This window comes from Homo sapiens, chromosome 14, assembly GCF_000001405.40.
Source record: "Homo sapiens chromosome 14, GRCh38.p14 Primary Assembly".
Lineage (NCBI taxonomy): Eukaryota > Metazoa > Chordata > Mammalia > Primates > Hominidae > Homo > Homo sapiens.
In genome coordinates, this window is record NC_000014.9 from 55,728,578 (window position 1) to 55,753,086 (window position 24,509).

At 44.3% G+C, this 24,509-nt stretch overlaps 1 annotated feature.

Moving 5' to 3' along the window:
• Nucleotides 23,894-24,509: an enhancer, noted in NCBI's record as "OCT4-NANOG hESC enhancer chr14:56219189-56219804 (GRCh37/hg19 assembly coordinates)". NCBI's record gives its function as "activates a minimal SCP1, AML or CMV promoter by ChIP-STARR-seq in naive H9 embryonic stem cells {active_cell/tissue: H9 hESC(naive)}" and the evidence as "EXISTENCE:reporter gene assay evidence [ECO:0000049][PMID:30033119]".

Sequence of the window (24,509 nt, forward strand, 5' to 3'; positions counted from 1 at the left end):
TTACATTTTACTAGTAATTTTAAGTAGTGGTTGGCTGGTAAATGAAGGCAGTTTTTCCTTCTTGAGTTCTACTGGCAACCCTGCCCTGTGTGATCTTGTTGAGAGGAGGATAACAAAAGGATATGGCCTTTGGGTTCAAATCTTGGCTCTGCCACTTGGTACCTTGGGGGAAATAAATTAATCTCTCTATACTTTAGTTTTCTCTTCTGGAGAAAGGATAATGATAGTAATTTCTGTCTCAGCAAGGGTTTAGTACAAGAAACTAAAACTCTTCTAGGTGTTTTAGCAGAAAGGGATTTAATACAAGGAACTATATACTTACACAGTTGCTGAAAGGGCTGGAGGAGCAGTGATTCCCTATCACAGAACTGACGTACTAGGGGAGCTGTACCTCTGAAGCCAGCACGATGGGAACTGGTGAGTTTAAAAACACAGCTGAAATGTTGTATTGCTACTGGTTCTGCTTTAAATGCCCAGGAAGCTGGAGAAGGACTGCAGTCCTGCTGCAGAAAAGGATCACATCTCCACACCCTTGCTTGCCAGAATGAAATTTCTAAAAGGGGCAAGAAGTGGCCTCTGCCTCATTTTCACCTTCCCAAACTCATGCAAATACTTATAACTTATGAAACCTAATCTATATGCAAAGCCTGAGCTCCAAAGGAATTTGGGAAATAGTTTTCAGCTTTCTAGTATGGAGGATGATCAAGCCAATCCACAATATCTGCTATAATGCCTTCCATGAGATTGTTGTGAAGATGAAATAAAATAATTCATGTGAGTACCTGGTAAAGAGTGATGCAGTAAATGCTATTTATTGTCGTTTATAGAGAGCAAGGCATGTGCCAGGGACTGAGCTTATTTACTAGGGATGGAAAAATTAATAATGTTTCTTTGCTGTCCTCAAAATATTTCCAGTATAAAGAGGGTAGGAATTAAATAATTATATTACAACCAAAAAAAGTGCTATGGGAAGGCAGGGGACAGGGTAACTTGGTTGGCAGTGTGTGTTAATTCGCTTACTTATTCATGAGAAAGCATATTTGCTGGCATAACTCACTGTACTGACCAGGCCTATTGCTTGGTGCTGGGATGTAGAACTGAACCAGACAAATGTCTCTGCCTTGTGATGCCCTATGTGTTCTCAGTGGGGAGTGATGACTGGGGGGAAGTCAGAAGGAAAGGCTTCACAGAGGAGGAAACATATGGGCTGGCTCTTTAAGGATGAAGAACATTTTAGGCAGAGAAGGGAAAGAAGGCAAGTACAGACTTACAAAGAATTTTAGTTCTTGGCTTAGGGCAGCATTTCCCAAAGTGTGTTCCATAGAACACTAGTCCCCAGAGTGGCTCCTCGAAGGGATGGTTCTGCAGTAAGTCACCATCTAGGGGTCATGATGATGATTAGCTCATTAAAATGTTGACAAGACTTACAGTAAAATGCTATTAACTTTTTAACTCAATGTTTATTATATTTTTTGTCACAAAAACCTTCTTTGATGGAATATCTATTAGTATAGAATACACTCTGCAAAACATAAACCCAAGGTGATCAACCGCTTCATTCTACAGCTGGCAAAATGGGGCACAGGCAGGCTAAGGGTCACACCATTGGATTATAAGCTGAAAGAAGTCAGGGACCATGTTTCTCTCCAGCAACTTTTTTTTTTTTATTATTAAGGAATTAACCTAGTACATGGCACTAGACTGTTAGGGATGAAGAATTGATGAATTAATGAAAAACTAATCTAGAAGAGAACTCAGATATCTCAACTTTCGGGCCTATGTTTTTATTAATATATACCTTTCAGCCAATGGGAAGACATTCTCCCCACAAGGGTTATGTACAGCCTTTTCCCTTTGAGGTAGTGTTGCCTGATAAAATTTAGGGTGCACGCAATATTTGGACATATTTATACCCCAAAATTATTCATTATCTATCTGCTGTTCAAATTTAACTGGCATTCCATATTTTTATTTGCAACATTTGGCAACCCTACTCTTGGGGAAACAGTATGGAAATCTTTCTACCTGCTAATGTTACTTGTTAATCACCTTAAAAAGCCATTTATAAACAGACTTGTATTTTGCTTTCCAGTATATCACAGGGTCAATCCTTTTAAGTGGGTCTAAGAAGATAAACTGATTATGTTCACCTTAGTTTCTTTCAAGTTCCTGCTGAGAGAAAAAGCTTTTGTGTAAACAGGGAAGTGACAAAGCATTTGTTTCATCAGCCTGCACCCTAGCACATGTGAGAGGGTGCCAGTAAATTCTTCCAGCCTGGGCAGCCCTTTATAATCCACAGGAGAAGCACAGACTGAGATAGTAAGAGATATGTGAAGGAACAGGGAAGACAATTTCCTAAGTAATGAGGCTGTTTAGACCTTGCAGAGGAAGGACACTGCTATTATACACCCTAAGCCAGGTCTGTGTTTCCAAAAGGTGATACTCTTAGCCACAATTTTTTGAGTTTGGACCAGATGATTCCTTCATTTTGTGCAGTGCAGACCTGGATATAGATAATAAATTGTAATGCCCTTAAAAGCTTTCTTGTTCCCCATCCATCTTTGTCCTGCCTCACAAAGATGTACTGAGACCTCTCACAAACCATCCATTGTGACTTTGCCAGGGGATCCTGATCTTAAGACAATTAAACAATTAAAAAAGATCAGTTAAAAAAAAATCCTTCTTCTCTGCTCCTTATGCTGTTGGCTGCTTAAGCTGTTTGCTTTCATCCTCAGCTCTTGTGTGAATTATACATGTTTTTGTAAACTCAAACTTAAAACCCAGTATGTCTTTAGATAGCTTTTTGCACTGCACCCTTTAATGTGGGTTATTTTTCACATGCACTGGGGTGATTTTGCTTGTGCATAGAAGGGCGGTGGCTTGCTTCAAGTATCGGTTAATTGCACTTACATTCATTGGTTTGTTCCTGTTACAAACAGAAAAGAAAAAAGAAAAAAAACAAAACCCAACCAAACCAACCAAAGAAACACAAAACATTATGTACCAGGAACTGTGTGTAAGGCCCAGGTGAAACAGAGATACATAAAGCACAGTCCTTAAGGAATGGAAACGTTAAACAAATACTTACAATTCAATGTGATAAGTCAGTAGAGGTGACATTAGTACAGAGGTGCTGCACAGAGGGGCAGAAGGAATAACTCCACCTGTGGGAGACGGAGGGGGAATAAAGAGCTGCACAGGGATTTATGAGCTGAATCCTGAGGCATAAATAGGCATTTTCTCACTGCACAGATTGCAGATGGGAACTCATGCAAAGGCAAGGAAATATGAAGCTGTGTAATTTGTGTTCAGTGAGAGACTTCCACAGGTTAAAGATGGCCCACTGGGACCCAGAAAGAAAACAGCATAACTCCTTTTCTGTATTTATTTTTATGTAAAAAATCTTTACTAATATTTAGTATATGATTTACAGTTGGGCATATGTAATTTATCAGTTAAGTATAGCTGTGTGGTGAGTTGCATGCTCAAAAATGCTTTACCAAAAGGGGGCGCCCATGATCAAACTAATTTGGCTACTACTGCTGGAGTGGCAGAATTGGGGGTCCAATTCAGGCCGGCAACAGTGCCAAAGGAGTCCAGATAATTATGTTTCTTGTAGTCCAGGGTATCTCAAAGTATGGTCCACATATATGTACCTACAATGCTTGCTAAAGAAAAGTGAATTCCCAGGCCTATCCCACATCAATAAAATCAGTATTTCTCAGGAAGAGGGTCTGGGAATTTGTGTGTTTGACAAATTCACCAGGTGATGCTTATGGTCTTAGTCTGCTCAGGCTGCCATAACAAAGTACCACAGACTGGGTGGCATAAACAACAGACATCTATTTTTTCAGTTCTGGAAGCTGAAAGTCCAAGATCAAGGTTCCTGCAAGGCTCAGTTCCTGGTGGGGGCTCTCCTCTGGCTGGCAGATGGCCACCTTCTCGCTGTGTCCTCATATATTGGGGAGAGAAGCTCTACCCAGACTGGAGTTCAGTGGTGCAATCTCAGCTCACTGCAACCTCTGCTTCCCAGGTTCAGGCGATTCTCATGCCTCAGCCTCTGGAGTAGTTGGGATTACAGGCACATGCCACCACGCTTGGCTAATTTTTGTATTTTTTGTGGAGACAGAGTTTCACCATGTTGGCCAGGCTGGTTTCAAACTCCTGACCTCAAGTGATCTGCCTTCCTTGACCTCCCAAAGAGTTGGGATTATAGACCTGAGCCACGGCTCCTGGCCTCTTCCTCTTCTTATAAGGACACAAGTTCTATTGGATCAGGGCCCCACCCTTATGATTCATTTAACTTTAATCCCCTCCTTAAAGGCCTTATCTCCGAAACAATCACATGGGGGAATTTAGAGCATCAATATGTGAATTTGAGGGGGGCAGGGCAGGACACAATTCAGTCCATAGCACTTATGTTCACTGAAGTTTGAGGACCACTGCTCTAGTCTAACCAACAAAGAAACAGTAAAACCCGTGATAGCTTCTGATGGTAAGCTCCTTTGTTTCTGAGTCTGCACCGAGAGGATGAGCTAGAGAAACATGGGATTTCCAGCTCCCTGCCTTGCCTTTCAGACCAGCATTGTCCACTAGAAACATAATGGTAGCCACAAATGTGAGCCACATGTGTAATTTAAAGTTTTCTATCAGCCACAATGGAAAAATGTTTAATGAGACTGTGACATCAGTAAGAAACAGGTGAAATTACTTTTTAATAAGTAGTTAATCTATTATATCCAAAATATTATCATTTCAACATAAAATCAACATAAAAGATTATGAGTAAGATATTTTACATTTTTTGTATGAAATCTTTGAAATTCTGTGTCATATTTTATACTTCTATTTTAGCACAGCTTAATGTAAACTAGCGAGATCTCAAACACTTAGTGGCCACATGTGGCTACTGGCTACTGTGTTGGACAGGCAGTGCTAGACTATCCCAAGCTAGACTATTCTGCTTTGAAGAAGCAAAACAGACCAGGTGTGTTGTGTAACATGCTGTATAAGTACCGTTGTTTCTAAGAAAGGCTTTATGATTATGATTAGTCCTGAAACGTTTTTGTTAACATGACTCTCCTCTAACCAGAAGTTTAAGATGTCAAGTTTAAGCAGAGAACAGAAGCTGACGGCTCATCCTAGCAGCTGAAGAAATTGTCACCGTTCAATGTTCTCTTTACCATTTACATAAGAAATCACAAGCTGCCAGCCAGGGCTGGCTGATGCCTGAGCCATGCTGACTTGATGATGGTTTTCCCTTAAATTAAAACTGAGCTGCATTTGATTTATCACCCAGAGCTGTCACTTCTCACCTCCAGTGAACCTTTCCTAAAACCACAATAAATGTCACTTCAAAGGTTCAGAACTGGATTTCAATGGTGAAGAGCATATTCATCCTAAAACAGGCTCCTTGAAACAAAACAGGGTTTGCCATCAGTGTTGGGAATGGGGAGAGGATATGGAGACACTCCCCTGAATTTTGTATAATGAAGAAAGCATTTGGCTGATCATGAACTTTACCCATATCCACAAGATCAAGTTTGGGATCCCCAGGGGCAAAGGGTGTGTTATTGGTGCTGAGCTCCGTCTTGGGAGCCACTAGAGCCCAAGAGCTTCTAGTTACTTTTGAGACAAGAAATTCTTGTTTAGTTGGAGGAACTTGGGGGCATTTGGTTAGAGAAGAGAAAGTTTGGTGAAGAGGGCATGACACATCACCCTCATGTATTTGAGAGCTTCTTGGAAGAAGAATTAGACCCATTCTACATAGTCAACAGGGCAGAATTAGAACATATCTTTAGTTCAAGATAAATAAGACATTTTTAATGAGATTGTGACATCAGTAATAAGACACAGACATCAGATTGTGCTTCCGTATGGAAATATTTGTTGAGTACCTACTTTGGGTCAAGCACTGTTATTTATATTATTTTAATGAAATTTCATAACATTTCTGTAAGGTAGGCATTATTAGCTCTTTTTCATAGATGATGAAATTGAGGCTCAAGGATGTTAAGCACCTCCCAGAATAGGTGCTTTGAGTTGGAGGGAGGTCTCCCAGTCACTGAGCCTGTTGAAGCAGAGGGTGCAACACCATCTGTATGAGCTGGGAGGTGTCAGCCATCTTGATAAGCTAATAACTGCTACTCTTTACTTGTGCTTGTTTTGTGATAAAAGATATTACAAATTTTGATTTATGTATTAAAGTGACATGGCCAAAGAGATATTACATAGACTAGTTTTCAAACTATTAAGAAGAGAAATTCTTTTTCCTTCCTGCAGATGGAAGCTTCAGCAGCAGGAGCCAGGCCCCACACTCTCCTGCTCCCAGTTGGTCTGTGGTGGGATATGGTGAGGCTCAGCTGTTTGCTGGTCACTTCCCCTGGTGACCAGTTAGTATCCCAGAGGAATCACAGATAATAGAGTGATGTGAAATGAACTTAAAAATAAATGTTTAAAACACTCAGAGGAATAAAGGGAAAATAGAATCCATACAGCAAAACAAGACCTTATAAAAAAGAACAGGCAGATTTGAACAAGAGATAGAAATTTAGAAAACAAAAAAAAGTAATTAAAATAAAAATCTGTCTTAACATGTTTATGCTGCTATTAATAAAATACCTGAGACTGAATTTACAAGGAACAGAAATTTATTTCTCACAATTCTGGAGGCTGGGAGTTCAAGATCAAGTTGTATAGCAAGGACCTGGTGTTTGTTTCCAAGATGGCTCCTTGTGGCTTCATCCTTGGAAGGGGAGAAACACTATGTTCTCGCATGGTGAAGGATGGAAGGGCAAGAAGGTGAACTGTCTTTGCAGCCTCTTTTGTAAGGCCATTAATCCATTCATGAGGCCAGAGCCCTCTTGACTTCATCGTTTCCCTAGAAGCCCCACCTTTTAATACCACCATGATAGGGATTAAATTTCCATATGAATTTTGAAGGGGACACACATTCAAACCATAGCAGTGGTCTAGACCAGGGATCAACAAACTCTAGCCTGTGGGCCAGCTGCCTGATTTTGTAAATAAAGTTTTATTAGACCACAGCCATGCCCATTCTTTAGCATATTGTCTTAGGCTGCTGTTGAACTACAAATAGCAGAGTTGAATAGTTGAATAGAGACGATGTGGCCACACACTCTAAAGTATTTACTACCGGGCCCTTTAAGAAAACATTTGACAAAGGTTGGTCTGGACTGAATGTGAGAGAGAATTAGTGATTTGGAAGGTAGAGATAAAGAAATCACCCAGGATACAGCACCAAAAGATAGACAAATGGAATATGGGATAGGAGGTTGAGACATGGAGCACAGAATAAGCACAACACATTCATGTCACCAGTATCTGAGTTCCTCCTTTTCTACCAGGGTGCACTTCTAGACCACACAGCTTAGCTGGTTGTGGTCAGGTGGACCTTGTGATTGAGTTCTGGCCAATGAGACATGAGCAGGAAGGAGGAGCAGCACTTTCCTCTTGCCTGGACAATCTCTCCTACAATCTCTCACATACTCTCTTCCTTCATGAGAAGATGGAAGTTCTTCTGGCTTCCTGAGTGACGAATTCTCCCTTTCCTCTGCTCAGCTGCCTCAGTTTGAATATGAATTAGAAAGAAACCACTGCTAAGCCACTGACATCTTAAGGTTGTTTCTTATGGCAGTTAGCCACTGATAGGGTTTGGCTGTGTTCTCACCTAAATCTCATCTTGAATTGTAGTTCCCATAATCCCCACATGCCATGGGTGGGGCCCAGTGGGAGGTAGTTTAATCATAGAGCGGTTACCCTCATGCTGTTCTTGTGATAGTGAGTAAGTTCTCACAAGATCTGATGGTTTTATAAGGGGCTACCCCCCTCACTTGGCTCTCATTCTTCTCTCTCCTGCTGCCATGTGAAGAAAGACATGTTTGCTTCCCCTTCTTCCATGATTGTAAGTTTTCTGAGGCCTCCCCAGCCATGCTGAACTGTGAGTCTATTAAACCTCTTTCCTTTATAAATTACCCAGTCTCAGGTATGTCTTATTAGCAGGTATGTCTTATTAGCAGACTAATACATACATTTTGATTTATGTATTAAAATGATGTGGCCAAAGAGATGTTACATAGACTGAGTAATAGTTTTCAAACTATTAAGAAGATAAATTCTTTTTCCTTCCCCCAGATGGAAGCTTCAGCAGCAGGAGTCAGGCCCCACACTCTCCTGCTCCTGGTTGTTCTGTGATGGGATATGATGAGCCACCCTGACTCGTATAGATTTAATAGAAGTTCCAGAAGGAAAGAATATCAACTAGTGCTTTTCAAATTTTAATGTGCATATGGTTCACCTAGGTGTCTCATTGAGTTCTTGATTCTGATTCCATAGGTCTTGAGAGGTGCCAGCTATTTTGCATTTCTAACAAGCTTCCAGGTGGTGAAGCCACACCTGGTCCATACATCACATTTTGAGTAGAAAGAGAGAATGAGGAAGAGGCAATATTCAAAGAGAGAATGGCAGAGAAGCTCCCAGAGTTCAATATGCCAGAGTTTACTCTTTGTCTGTTTTCTTCTGTGTTCTTATTTCCTAAGTAAGTAGACACTTAACTTCAAACAGATGACTATGTTTCAACAGACTGGGGGCTTTGGCTCAATTTCATGTCCCTGCAAGTCACTTTGGCCATCTCAGTCACTCAGTCACATTTATGCACACATGCACACACACAGAAGTGATTGTGGAAGCCCAATGCACAATGATTTTTTTTGGCGCGTTTCCATATTTTATGATCCTCTTTGCAAAGATGCCCGTTCAAGTGCAACACACCATTTCATCTCCATGCCTACTCCTTTGTGGTCACAGATCTAGTGATTCTGGACCTCACTGGACTCTGTGATCCCTGGACAAAAGAACACCTAGAAAGCTTGGGTGTGGGGCTGACCCTGAGGCTCTCAGCCTAGACCACATGGAGTTAGAATGGGATTGGAACTACCCCAGCTTGGTGGGAATCCCCTGGAACTGAGAAGGCGAAGAGCTGCCCCTGTCAGCAATGCTGTGCCCACCCAGGCTCTTCTCCAAAGGTGGTGTTCCTCTGCTCTAAGACCATGGTGACAGCAAACAGGGATAAGAAAGGTATCAGCACTAGGGCTGGAACCTATGGAGTCCTCAGCTTTCCCAAGCAGATTTTATGCCGGAGGAAGTCCAGTGTAAATGTCATTTGCTTTACATGCTGGATTGGAAAATAGACAACTTGTGTGTCTTATACAGTGGAACTTGAATTTCAGAGGTGAAAGAGATGCATAAAAAACCTTTACAAAGTTGTAAAAGGTTTTTATTTAAACCGGTACTTCCCATTCTCACAAATGACGAGTGTACTATGGCAGAGTCTAAATTTTCTTCTTTAGGTGAACCTAAAAATTTTTGCTAGCCTATATAATTTGTATGTCCACAATTATCTATCTATCTATCTATCTATCTATCTATCTATCTATCTATCTATCATCTATCTCTATCTATATTTTATTTTTTATAAATAGAGACAGGGTCTCACCATATTGGCCAGGCTGGTCTCAAACTCCTGGGCTCAAGTGATCAATTGCCTTTGCCTCCCAAAGGGCTGGGATTATAGGCATAAGCCACTGTACCTGACCCAATCTTTTTTGCTAAAATATATCTTGCAGTGCCCATGAAAGAATATGTTCAGAATTCATCTCTAAAATGGATACTGGTTTTACCTTCATCCTACCAACAGAATGTATTGTGACTAGAGCTACCTCCCATCTCTTGGGGCAGCAAGTGGGGCCTAATAGCTTTATAAGATATAAACATAATTAAACATTAATGGCTAATATTATTGAGTAGTTACTGTGTGGCAGGCATTGTTGTAAGGGCTTTATGGTTTTTTTTTTTTTCTTGAGATGGAGTCTCCTTTCACCCAGGCTGGAGTGCTGTGGCGCGATCTCGGCTCACTGCAAGCTCCGCCTCCCGGGTTCATGCCATTCTCCTGCCTCACCCTCCCGAGTAGCTGGGACTACAGGTGCCCGCTACCACCCCTGGCTAATTTTGTTTTTGTATTTTTAGTAGAGACAAGGTTTCACTGTGTTAGCCAGGATGGTCTCGATCTCCTGACCTTGTGATCCGCCCGCCTCGGCCTCCCAAAGTGTTGGGATTACAGGCGTGAGCCAGCGCCCCCAGCCTTTATGGGTCTTAACTCATTTTCTCCTAATACAGTCTCCCACAGTGTAGCTACAGTTATGACTCCCATTTTCTGGAAGAGGAACCTGAGGCACAGGGTGGTTAGGTAATTTTCCCAGGGCACAAGGAGTAAGTAGTAGAGTCAGGATTTGAACCAAGCAGTCTGACTCAATAGACCATAAGCATAATGGCTATACTGTGTGTTGGCATAGCAGAGCATAACTTTTCTCCTACCTTACCAGAAAATGAGCACACTGGAAGCCTCTGTTTAAGCCTGGACTTTGGCTGTCCAATGTGGTGGCCCCATGTGGCTACTGAGCACTTGAAATGTGCCTAGTACAAATTGAGATGTGTGGTAGGAGTAAAATACATACTGGATTTTGAAGACAGCATGAGAGAAAGAATGCAAAAGATCACTTTTATAATTATTTCATATTGATTAAGTGCTGAAATGATAATATTTTAGATATGTTGAGATGAATAAACTATATCCTTATAATTAATTTCACTCTTTTTACTTTTTAAAATGTAGCTTCTAAAAAATTAAAAATTCCATGTATGACTTGTCTTTGTGGTCAGCATTTCTATTTGAACAGCGCTGGCCTTGGCAGTTTGCTCATTCATTTGTTCACTCATTCATTCAGCATGTGTTGGCAACCAATAGGTGCCAAAAGAAGCTAGACTCTGAGGATACAGCAGTTAACAAGACCAATTTGATTCTTGTTGTCAAGTAGCTCAATATTCCAGAAGGGTGGGTGGGAAAAGGAGGTCTTAAAGACCCTAAGAAATAATTATGTAAGTAGTTAATTAACATCATTATTAAGTGTTCAAAGAGGGAAGGGGGTAGCTAGGAGAGATTGTACTAAGGGCATCTAACCCCTGGGGGCCATTCAGTAAATGTTATCCATTCAATAAATATTTGTTGAGGGAATAAATGAATCTGGGGGATTAGAGGAGCTTTCCTGAGGAAATAACTTTCAGATAGAATTCTGCAGAGATGGGAGAGAGTCAGGTGAAATATTGGCAGCTTCTCCTGTGATCGCAGGCCCTGCTGTGTGGGTGGCTTTGTCTACTCTCCCTTTATATCACAGATAGTTGTCTCTGGTTGGGTTTGGGTCTGCCCATTTTGATGCGGTGGGTAGAGGCATGGGGAGTTGTGTTCCTTGGTATGAAGAAGGGTGGTCTCAGCCACTGGGGGCATCCTAGGGAGATGGGCAGGAGGGAGGTCACCTTCCCTTCCCTCCTCCAGCATCGCGCAGTGCCCAGCCCCTGGGGCCTCCCACAAGGAGGCTGTGTATTGCCTCCTTTCCCTTTCCTCCTGCTCCTACTAGGTTTGCCTCTGCAGCATTTTCCTTTGTTGCACAATCCATTTGACAGGTTTTTATTTTGTTGTTGTTTCTGCCCAGTGTAAATGAGATCTCCAGTAGGGAGAATGACTTTTAAATCTTTTGTGACCCTGGAGTACAAAATGTTCCCAATTCCTTCCCCTGAGCAATTTTTATTTCTGTGGCAAGTCACAATAGAGTGCTTATTTTTGTCAATAACAATTGGGCAGCAGGAGAGGTGGGAGAGGCTGGCCCCATGAAGCTGGGTGGCTGGAGTTTGCTGCTGGTAATGGTAACTAGCCTGAAGTGGGAGGGAGCTGGGAGCTGGAGCTGGGCTGGGGACAGAGGGCAGCTGTGGGCAGCTAGGGAGGAATGTGGGCACCCGCCCTTGGGCCCCTGTGCAGACCCCGGGGAGTTGATCTTGGATCAGCCTCCTCTGGATTTTTGCAGACACGATCCCAGGTTGCCAAGTTACCCAATGAGCCAGAAAGCAATAAAACCACCCTAACCCAGCTGGGGGTGGATTTTGCTTGGTTCAGAGCCTATCTCGCCTGGATCTTATATTGGACTTACACAAAGGGATTTACTCCAGGATGGGTAACTATTTTGGCAGGAAAATCAGGCACTGTGCCCTAAACATACTGGGACTTAATAAATATTTGTTAAGTCAGTGAATACAAATTTGCAGTAAGGAATACCATTTTCAGTTAATTCAGGGCAGTTGGGCTGCCCTGAATGAGGTCTCAGCTGGGCTGGTTGTCTCAGCAGTCTTTTCCTGATCTAAGATTCTGCAGTTCTCTGAAACTTGCCTGGTCAGGGACAGGCTTCTGACCTGGAGGTGGGTTACGGTCCAGGATTTGTGCCTACCTAGAGGTCACTGTTTCTTCCTTACAGCAGGGTGTCTCGACCTCGGCACTGTGGACATTTGGGGCTAGAGAACTCTTTGTGGCAGGGGCTGTCCTGTGCACTGTGGGAGGTTAAGCAGCATCCCCAGCCTCTACCTACGAGATCTAGTGGCACCTCCCTCCACGCTCCAAGTGGTGAGAAGCAAAGATGCCTCTCTGTCTTGCCCAGTGTGCCCTGGGAGATGGGGGCAGGGGACAAAATTGTCTGTGTCTGAGAACCACTGGTCTACAGGAGTAAAGGGAGACCGTGTGCGGATGATACCAGGAAGTACATAATTGCAGGCCGTTTCTGTGCGATATATATCATATGGCATGGAGGGTGTGTGGATTTATCTTCCCAAGCACTGTATTTAGCACACATTAAAACTGCCTGCTCTGTCTTAGTGCCCACTTGTTGGGGTGGGAGGCCTGGGGGAAGGAGGAGGGCTCCTGCAGCACAGCAAGGCCCAGGAGGTGGTTCACTGCACACGGACAATGCCCAGCACACTGCATCGTCCTCTGTCCACAGCTCCCTCCTCTATTCCTTGGGGATGGCAGCAGTTCTAGACACTGTATGTCCACTGAAATCACCTGGGAGGCTTTTCAGGACTTCGGTTTAATTGGTAGCAGCTAGCACCTGAGCATCTCTCCCTCTTTCTTTTTTCTTTTCCTTCCTTCCTTCCTTCCTTCCTTCCTTCCTTCCTTCCTTCCTTCCTTCCCTCCCTCCCTCCCTCCCTCCTTCCTTCCCTCCCTCCCTCCTTCCTTCCTTCTCTCTCTTTCTCTCCTTCTTTCTTTCTCTTCCTTTCTTTTTTTTTTTTTTTTTGACTGAATCTCACTCTGTCGCCCAGGTTGGACTGCATCTCAGCTCACTGCAACCTCCACCTCCTGGGTTTAAATGATTGTCCTGCCTCAGCCTCCTGAGTAGTTGAGACTACAGGTGTGCACCACCACGTCCCGCTAATTTTTGTATTTTTTGGTAGGGACAGGGTTTCACCATGTTGGCCAGGCTGGTCTCAAACTCCTGACCTCAAGTGATCCGCCTGCCTTGGGCTCCCAAAGTGTTGGGATTACAGGCGTGAGCCATCGCACCCGACCGCATCTATATTTTTTCTGAAGCCGCTCAGGTGACCCATCTGTGCAGCTGTCCCGCTGAGAGTCCCTGGTGTGACAAAGAGCCTGGGCTTTGCGATCGGGCACCCCTGGCTATAGTCCCAGCTGGCCAAACTTCTCTGAGGTTACTTGTTGATGAAACTGGGAATAATAATTGCTCCCTCCCAAGCTGTAGTGATAGGTGAAGGAGGTAATGTTTCAAGGAAGCTCTTATTGTGAGGTGCCTAATAAGTGCTTATTAATGCCCTTCTCCTTTCAGGCCGTCCTTCCCGTAGCCACATCCTTCCCTCCTGGTCTCATTCCCTCTGGCTCCGAGCTGGGTCTCCAGGCGCTCTTTTGGGATCTCCATGTGGCTGATGTGGGGTTGTCTCTCTTGACTCCCTGTGGAGCCTCTTCTGTTTTCTGCACCTGGAAAGAACCAGTTTCTGCACACTTTTGAGGCCCTAGGCCACAGCAGGGCTCAGAGGGATTTTCCAGGTACTTCTAGCAAAGCTGACCTGAGGGGCCAGCAGTGAGTGCCAGGGCAACACAGGAAACACATTCCTGGCTAGGGGTATGTCTCCATTTGTCCTACTATTTGTGTGTGTGTGTGTGTGTGTGTGTGTGTGTGAATAGGGAGTGTGTAGGTGGGGCAAAGTAAGCCTGGGTCACACTTAGTAAGCCTGGGTCACAGGGGTCAGCTGAAGGTGACACGAAGAGGAGAGGTTCTGTTCATTCTGTCACTCACTTATCCTTTTATTTTTTTTTTAAATGGCCCACTGCAGATGCAGGCCCCCGGAGTTAGAACAATGCTTTGGTTATGTTGAGTTAGGGAGTGATAAATATCCTTGAGAAGAATGCTCTTGTGTAGGCCTGTAGGTCTTGGGGCTACTGACCCAACACAGTGTTTAACCAGGGGCAACGGGTTCCTGTGGACATCTGGCCTGAGCCCGCAGTTAAACCTACCCCCTCACCACTTTATTGAGCAGAAATTCGTAGTCATGGGTGTATTCACATGGAGCCGAAGTAGCCCTGTAAATTAGCACAGAAGTTAAAACCTCACCCAATTATTTCCCTAGTTCATTCTCTTCCCTTGGATTGCAGTGCTTGTCAAATATAGGAAGTGAATGTTCTTCCATGGTTTACCGGAAAAAGTCATCCTGGCAGGCAATTTTTTTAAACTGGAAACTCTGGGTAGATTCTTGGACTTTGCCTAATACTAATAAGAAACCTAGTATGAACATTTTATTTGACCAGTGTTCTGAACCAGGGGTGATTTTTGCCTTCCAGAGGACATTTGGCAACGCCTGGGAACACTTTTGGTTGTCACAACTAGGGGAGGATGCTACTGGTTTCTTAGAGAGTAGAGGCCAGGATTGCTGCTAAACACCCCATAATGCACAGGACAGCTCCCCACAATGAAAAATTAGCCCAAAATGTCAATAGGGTTGAGGTTGAAAAATCCTGTTAGAGAAGCAAGTGTCCAGTGCTGGCACTGGGATGTGAATTCCAGGCGCTTCTGTCCAGCTAAACCCCAGCTCTCCCCTGCTGGAACAGCTCGCTTGGCTTGGTGATGGTAATGGTTGGGTCTGGGCACACTCAGCCAAATGATGACGATAACTGTGTTCATGATTGTATTTCATTAGTACCTATTCGTGCTGAGTCCAGAGCTGGGCCCCCTACAGATATTATCTCGCTGAATATGCCAGCATCACAGCCCTGAATGATGTAGATGAGGGAGTAGCACCTCAGGCAAGTGAAATTGCCTGGCTGCGGCCACACAGCCAGTAAGCTAAGGAATCCAGGTTGGTACCCACACCCCTTCCCTCTAGAGCATAGGTTGCCTATTATCCACATAACCAAGGGAAAAGGCAGTGGCTAAGCAGCTGCGTTATTTATTAATTTTTTCATTTTTAATTTTTTTGAGACAGAGTCTTGCTCTGTCACCCAGGCTGGAGTGCAGTGGCACAATCATGGCTTGCTGCAGCCTCAAACTCCTGGGCTCAAGCAATCCTCCCATCTCAGCCTCTTGAGTAGCTGGGACTACGGGCGTGCACCACCACACCTGGCTCACTGCAGCCTCCATCTCCCGGGTTAAAGGGATTCTTGTGCCTCACCCTCCCAAGTAGCTGGGATCACAGGCATGCACTATCACGCCCAGCTAATTTTTGTATTTTTAGTAGAGACAGGGTTTTGCCAGGTTGGCCAGGCTGGTCTCAAACTCTTGACCTCAAGTGATCTGCCTGCCACAGCCTCCCAAAGTGCTGGGATTACAGGCGTGAGCCACCACGCCCAACCTTGTAGCTGCATTCTTTCATTCAGCTTTGGGACAGATGTTTTTCAGGAGTTGGTTGTTCCCTCCTTTAGGTAATCTGCTGTTGGATCCAGTCTTCACCTTTGTCACTTTTTTAGATGCAGGGTCTCACTCTGTCACCCAGGCTGGAATGCAGTGGTGTGATTGTAGTTCACTGCAGCCTTAAACTCCTGAGCTGAAGCGATCCTCCCACCTCAGCGTCCTGAGTAGCTGGGACTACAGGAATGTGCCACCACACCTGGTGATGTTTCAAAAAAAATTTTTTTTAAAGAGATAAGGCTCTCACTATGTTGCCCAGGCTAGTCGTGAACTCTTGGCCTCAAGTGATCTGCCTTGGCCTCCCAAAATGCTGAGATTACAGGTATGAGCCATCCCACCCAGCCATCTTTGTAACTTATAACCCTATCTTGATGCATTTTTTATGAATAGTGATTTTGGCCAGCACCCTTTCAGAGGTGACGGTAATATCATTTCACACCACAGGCAGGGTAACTTGCTTGAGTTTCTCAAATTGCCGGCTAGCTAAGGAAAGTGGGTGGCAGCCCCTGGCTTTCTCTGTTTACCTCCAGGTGTTCCCCACCAGCCAGAATGCTACTGCTCCCATTCACAGAGGCTGTGGGGATATGGAAGTTTGGGGACCCTCCAGGCTGCCCATGTGTGGTGTCTGGGAAGACTCCTGTCACTTACATGCTGTCACCCACCAGCTGTGACTCAGAGGCTCCCTCTGGGCAGCTATGGAGAGGTCCCAGGGCACACTGGGTAGCTAGGCCAGAGACTTGATTCTAACACAAGTTCCCACAAACAGGCTTGTCGCATGGCTTCTTTGGGTCTCGGATTCTGCATCTGAAAATTAGAAGATGTGCTAATTTACAACTCTTTTCCCTTTTTGTGTCTATAATTCTGTGACTCAAGACAGAGAAACATTTGACTTCCAGTCTAAGGAGTGTAAGGGGAAAGGGAAAGCTCAGAGAGATTCTCATCAGCCAAGTCAGAAGGGAGACTGGCTCTTCAGACTTTCAGAAGCTTCTGTGGCCTTTGCAATGTCCCACCTTTGTTATTTTGTTTCCTTGTGATTAGCAGTAAAACCCTGCATGTGGGGTGTCAATGAGGAGGAAGGAGGCAAACTGATTCTGGGGCCTTCACAAACACTGTCCTTGGCCGGGTGCAGTGGCTCACACCTATAATCCCAGCACTCTGGGAGGCCGAGGCGGGGGGATCACATGAGGTCAGGAGTTCAAGACCAGCCTGGCCAACATGGTGAAAACCTGTCTCTACTAAAAATACAAAAATTAGGTGGGCGTGGTGGTGCGTGCCTGTAATCCCAACTCCTCTGGAGGCTGAGGCAGGAGAATTACTTGAACCTGGGAGGTGGAGGCTGCAGTGAGCCGAGATTGCACCACCACACTCCAGCCTGGGTGACAGAGTGAGACTGTCTCAAAAACAACAACAACAACAAAACCACAAAACACTATCCCTTAGATCTCACTCCATGTTCGGCACTCCCAGACCATCTCTGTCTTAGAGAGGGCCAGGGGACTATCTCTCCACTTCTGGCAAAATACTCCTGAGTAAATTCTCGGTCTCTCTCTTTTGCCCTCTCCCAGATACACTCTGAGCTGGCTTCCCCTCTCCCCACCCCTGTAGGGTGAGACTCTGCCTGTACTCAGAGGCCCTTTCATGTAGGCAAACACAACATGACCTCACACTGCCTAAACTCCGCTATTCTGCACCTAAGGGGGTTCCTTATTCGCAGACTGGCCAGAGGGCAAGCTCCGTCAGATTCCATCTCTGGGGAATGTTCCAGTTAGAAGTCCCAGGAAGTTGCTTGTAAGCAGAAACACTAAGGCCGAAAGATCCTGATGAGACGGGCATCAGGTGAAGCTGAGGAGAAAGCTGTGGACACTGGCCTGTGAGGACAAGTGGTCTCGAGGCCCCTGAGAGAAGGAGGGGTTGGCTGTAGTGCCCAGCAGCCTTCCTGTCCCAGATGGCACATGATGTGCTGTTGTGGAGTCCCAGGGTCCTCCAGGGTCCTTGCAGTGAAGCCACCATGCATCCAGGCTGAAATATGGGTTCCTGTGACTGGAGGGACCTGAAGTAGAGGACTCTGTGCTTCCCCTGTGATCTGAGGAGCAAAAGAGATGCCACTTTATCAACTAAGAGGGACCCTAGGGTTAAGGAAACAAAAGTTACCTGTGGGTAGAGGGTTCAGTGCTTGACTGGCATGCCAACTTCCTAAATTCCTACGGCTATAGGAAAAACCACGCTCTTGGAAAACTCCCTAACAAGAGGAACTATCAGGTAAATTGTCAGACCCCTCCTAAACCTGGTCTACATCCCAGACCACTACAACTCTGACTGGACAGAGGACCAGCCTTGCAGACATTCTTTTCTGATAAGTCACTGCAGACCTTAAACCAGTTTCAGCCAGCTGATAGAGGCTGCACACAAACTGACTTTATGTCTTATAGTTCATCTTTCAGCATAAAGAGCCAAAGTCCACCTTGTGTTAATGATAAAACCCCACTCCAAAGTGAACATGGGATGTATGCTATGTATATGTTTACCCATTATGCATCTGTTTGGCTCCCCTCATAAATATGTGAAGCTTTCCCTCCAAACCTACTGAATATGTATGATACAGACCCTGTGAGGCATAAAACCCAACCTGTTCTTTCCCTCTTCGAAGAGAAAGGACCTTTGCTCTGCACTGGAGACTTTCTCTTCCTAGTTTGCAAACTGTATTGCCAATCAAGCTCTCCTTTCTACCATGTAGCCATCCTGGGGCCTTTTGGATGACACTCTTTAGCTGAGAGCACCAAGAGCAGTATTCTTCCTCATCTGATTCTTCCTTGAAGAAGGAGGTATTTCTCACTTGGCGGCACTAGGAAACCAAGGTCACAGCCCATTTTCCAGGTGAGGAACTTGAAAGGTGAAAGATACTCATTGAGGGTCAAGATTTGCATTTGTGATGGAACCTGGGCAAGTCTGGATAGGCCATTTCCCGCCCTGAGCATCTGCTGCACTCAGGATCGGCCGCTTCGGGGTAGACAAAACAAGTTAGACAAGGCCTCTGCCCTCTCTAATGTGCACCAAGAGACACAGCAATTAGAAGAGGCTCTAACAGGATTTGTTTTCTGACTTGCCCTTTGCTTAAAAGTCTCTTAGTACAAGTGGGACTTTGGATTTCATGACGAATAGTGCAAGTATAAAATCTATTCTTTAAAGCCCAGCTTGGATCAGGCCCTAGGCAAAATTGTGATCTCTGTGAAGTTGGCTTCTAGCTCCACGAGGCCCTTGTTTCTGCCTGTCTTGCCTTCTTTCTTCATTCTTCCATCTATTCTCGCAGCTCCACAGCCACCTTTCCCTTTTACAAAATTTCCCTCTCTAGTAAAGTAAAAAAATGACTGTTAAGACAGTGTTACTTATACTCCTGGAGAATTTTACCTTTTGAGGACAAGCAGCCTTAAACCAAAGCACAGTTGCATTTGTACAGTAGAAAGAAAAGCCCACTGCAATAAAAATACTTAGCATTTCTTCAGCACCTTCTGAGCACCTGGCAACTGCGGTCTACATTGTTGCTTCTCTATCTAGCAGCTGTTCCATGCCAACCTTCCTTCTCCCTGGTTTTGTGTTTCGGGAAGGTGACTGTATCCCAGTGTTAGGAGGAGCACATTGCCTTGGTCTAATTCAACCATGCTCCCTGGATTTCTGTGGTGGGGAATTGACTTAGCATGGAGATGTAATGTAACCTTGCCAATGACACATAAGGGGCTTCTAGCCAAGGTTTTCCTCCTCGGTGTAAGCAGCATCTCGGGACAATCTGCCCTCCTGCTCTCCTGCTGGTTGTTGCTCCATGGGGTTGTGCTGCTTGGAGCATCTTCTGCTATCTTGTATCCATTCAGAAGCTGCGTTGAAGATGGCACAGCAGAATGATGGTGAGTATCTGAGTCCTTAATGACATTAAAAGACACTGCTCAACAGCTTTGGAACTTCTCATTCTGGGAGATAATAAGTTCCTTATAGATATTTTTCATGATACTTTTAGTTGGGTCTTCTGTTATTTAGAGCCGAAAGCATCCTAATGAATGCCCTGTTGAATGTTTTATGTAGATCGTCTCACTCGATCCTCACAACTTTATGTTGATGAGAAAGCGAGGGCTTGGACAACTCAAATGACTTCCCAAATCACACAAGCAGCAAGTGGGGCCTCAAACACACATACTTGCCTTCGAAGTGCTTTGCCATCAACCATTATGGCCCCAAATCTGGCTCTTGCCTCTACCTACTTCTGTGACCTTAAATAAGTCCCTTAACCTTTTTGGGCCTCAATTTTCTCATCCATGAAGAAAGGAACTATACTGGGTGACCTCAAATGTCCTTTTCAACTCTAAAACTATAAGAATAAAATTTCAGCTCTAAAATTCCCCATAGAGGACCAAGTCCAGGTACCATTATGCAAGAATGGAGGTCTCGATTTTGTTAACTCCTTGGATGCAGATAAGATAATCCAACTCTGCGTAATGTAAGTAGAAACAAATGTATTGTAACAGATCAGGTGGATTACAGTCAGAGTAATGCCTAGGAATGACCTGGTGAGGAGCTTATACCCCGTGGCGGCCCACTGAATTCTGCAGCTGATGCCAGTGCTACCACCATACTGGGCACTGGAGGCCCTTGCTGGTGGCCTTAGAATGACTTCTAGACTGTTTTTTAATTCTTTACTTGCTCCAGGGTGAAAGTCTCAGATAGAAGCATTTAGGTCCTATGGACTTAAGCTGTAGGCCCTGGTTGCCAGGATCTGGGAGATCAAGTACCTTAGCGTGGGTTTCCCCTGGAGCAACCCTGAAACAAGGAATTGAGTGTGAGTGGCTTATTTGGGAGGTAATTCAAGGAAACACTGGTAGGGGAGTGGGGAAGTCAGATAGGGAAGGGAGTGAAACAATAAAGGGTTTGTTATCAAGCAAGTTCCCCTGGGAGCAACTCCAGCTTAATCCTGCCTGGGATTCTGAAAGACAGGGTAGGCCATGTGCCTCAGGTTTATCCCACTGAGAGGCATGGTGGGGGGTCTAGGCTATTTACCCATCAACTCTTGGCAGTCATTGGCTGAGGGTCTGCTGGGTAGGGAGGTAAAGTGTACATCCCTGGCATTCTCTGCTTGTCCTGCAAAGTGGGCTCTGCAGGCCAGAGCAAGCCCTCAGGCATTGAGTAAGAGGAGTTGGCAATTGGAGTCTGACATTGCACAAGCACCTGGTGTTTACTGCCTCTCACCAGCATTCTTACAAACATGGGAAGAAAGTAAAGATGCCAGGCAGCCCCAAATGATCAATACCCATCACAGGTGTCTTGTGAAATCTTGTCAAGCAGACAGCAACACTGTGGGGGAGGCTGCAGCCCACACAGACCTGGGGTGCTTGCAGCAACTGACTCGCTTTTAGGAAATGCAGCTGTGCAGGCCCCATGGTGTCTTGTGGCTTCCTATGTATCCTCTCATCTCTTATGGGACCATAATCTTCTCAAAGGCAGAAAGCACCTTCAACATTTTAAATTCCCTTACCTCTTACCAACTGCACTCTTTACAATGCTCGGCACATAGCAGTCACTAATACTTTAAAAATTAAGTTCAGTGTTTTCATAAATACCATAATTTTTACTTCATAGAGGTTGATGAAAAACTAGAATTGTTCATATTTAGAAGGACCCCGTAAGTCAAGCAGAGCACACCGTGTCCACGCCAAATCCCCTTTGATAGCATCCTTGTTGTGACCGGTGGTCACAGGTATTGTCCAAGGACTTCCAGGGGGCAGTGTGGTGTCATGGTGAAGAGTGGGGCTCGGTGGGTGGCCTGCCTGCCTTTGAATCCTGGCTGAGCAATTTATGCATAGTCTCGGGCAAGGTGTGCAATGTTCTTTAGCCTTAGTATTTTTCTCCACAAAATGGGGATAATTGCAGTGTCTGCTTACATAAGGCCGTAAGCGTTAAATAGAAAAAACAGATATAAACATAAGTCCATATACAAATAATATGCATACATATATATTTATATATCTATACCCGCATCTATATAAATACAGATATTTAGCACAGAGCAAATAACAAACATTCCGTCCCCAAGGTGGCTGTTATTATTCCAGAGACAAGTTATTCCATCCTCCTGAAGGTGGACTTTCTTATTTGGGAATAGCTGCTATTGTTAGCAAGTGCATCAATATATCAAGCCCAGATCTTTCAATATATCAAGCCCAGATCTTTTGTCCACACAAGGGTTCAATCTTCAAACTGTGTTTTAAATTTCACTCTCCCAAAGAAATAATTTTTAGTTTTATTTCATTTTTAATTGACAAATAATATTGTATACATTTATGAGTATAAAGTAATATTTCCATACATGAATACATTGTGGAATGATCAAATCAGAGTAACTAGCATATCCATTACCTCAAATATTTATCATTTCTTTGTGTTGAGAACATTTGAAATCCTCTCTTCTAGCTATTTTGAAATATACAAGACATTATTATTAACTGTAGTCACCGTGACATGCAGTAGATCACCAGTACTTATTCTGCTTGTCTGAAACTTTGTACCCATTGACTGATGTCTCCCCTTTCCCTGTTCAGCCCCCCTCCCACCCCAGCCTCTGGCAACCACCATTCTCCTCTCTACTTCTATGAGTCTGACTTCTTACGATTCCACATTTAAGTGAGATAATGCAAGATTTGTCTCTCTGTGCCTGGCTTATTTCACTTAACATAATGTCCTCTAGTTTCATCCATATTGTTGTAAATGACAGAATTCCCTGTTTTTTTTTTTTAAAGCTAAATAGTATTCTACTGTGTCTCTCTACCACACTGAATAATCCATTCATCTGTGGAGAGACTCTTAGGTTTGTTTCCACACCTTGGCTGTTGTGAATAGTGCTGCAGTGAACATGGGCGTGCAGATGTCCCTTTGGCATATTGATTTGTTTCCCAAAGGAATAATTTTTAAACATGTGTTGATCTTGTTTTGCCTTCTGAAACTACAGAGGATAATTCTTTTTCATTTGCATGATTTTCTTTTTCTTCTTCTTTTTTTTTTTTTTTGAGACAGTGTCTCGCTGCAATGTGATGCCCAGGCCGGAGTGCAATGGCGTGATCTTGGCTCACTGCAACCTCTGCTTCCCAGGTTCAAGCAATTCTCTTGCTTCAGCCTCCTAAGTAGCTGGGATTACAGGCACCTGCCACACGCCCTACTAATTTTTGTATTTTTAGTAGAGATGGGGTTTCACCATATTGGCCAGGCTGATCTCAAACTCCTGACCTCAAGTGATCCACCTCCCTCGGCCTCCCAAAGCGCTGGGATTACAGGCGTAAGCCTTGCGCCCAGCCATGATTTGGATTCTAATAAGAAAAGTGTGTTGTCACTCCTAAGTGTGTTTCCCAAAGTGTCTTCTGAAAATGCTACACTCCAGAGGATAAAAGTCACAATACCCACTTGTACCTTAAGGGCTCTGAGGAGTCCTGCAATAAATTGTTCCTAAAACTATCTTGAAGAATGTGACATCTTTTAATATCCCTGCAGTTCCTTGGCATGGATTTTGATTTGTTTGCTCTCTTTTCACCAACGTTCTTGATGTTGGCCACAAATACTACAGACATTGAAAATAAGTGTTTTTCTTTTTCACAAAAACATAATTTAATACTTTTTTTTTGGAAAGAAGTTAAAAAACTTCTTTTTCCACATCTTCCTCTTGCTCTTTTCAGAAGGGCATTTTCTACTGTCTGCACAATTGGAAAGAAACAAGAAGGGGACACAAAAAAAGCCTGCTCTCTCTGCACCTTTTTCTGCCCCTCATGTGGAAAACTCAGGTTTCTTAAATACCAGCTGCTCCCACCCCCAGCAGCTAGAGGTCATGGAGGAATTCCACATAGTACTAAGCTTGCTGCTCTTTCCCCATTACCACTGCCCTTGGAGAGTGGTTTTCCCACATTGTGAGCATAAAAAATTAAAACTCAAAAAGGCGGGCATCTTTTCACCAGAACCTTTTCCTCTGCACCCTCTTCTCAGTGCTCCTAAATCATCAGCTCTGGAGAGGAGTATCTGCTCCTTTCATAAAAGGAGCAACTGGGCTCCTCACCCAAGCCAGTAGTTTCATAAATACCATAAATTCAGTGTTTTCGTAAATACCATAATTTTTACTTTATATAGGTTGATGAAAAACTAGAATCGTTCATATTTAGAAGGACCCCATAAGTCAAGCAGGGCACAACTTGTCCATGCCAAACCCCCTTTGATAGCATTCTTGTCGTAACTGGTGGTCACAGCTATTGTCCAAGGACTTCCAGGGGGGAGTGTGGTGTCTGATGTTTTCACAGCAGAGCATGGCGGCTGGGTTCCAAGAGGGAATGTTCTAAACGTACCTTGAGAGAAAGCTCAGTTCCAGGATTTGAATGACAATGGCTGCTCCTCATTGTTTCTGCCCTGATCAAGGCGCTCCTTTTACAGGCAAACCATGTAATTAGGTTTGAGGGACAGTGCCTTGGGGAAGCACAGAGCCACAGGACCTCAGTGCTGGAAGGAGACCTGGAGATCACCAAGCCTAGACTTTCCCTTTTACAAATGAAACAGCTGCAGCCCAGAGAGGTGACGTGCTTTGACCCAAGCTGCAAAGCAGAGATGGCTTCTTCCTCTTGCTCCAAAGATATGATTCTTTACTTTCCTTTCTGCTGTTCTGTGGGTGGGGGTTATGGGGAGGAGGGG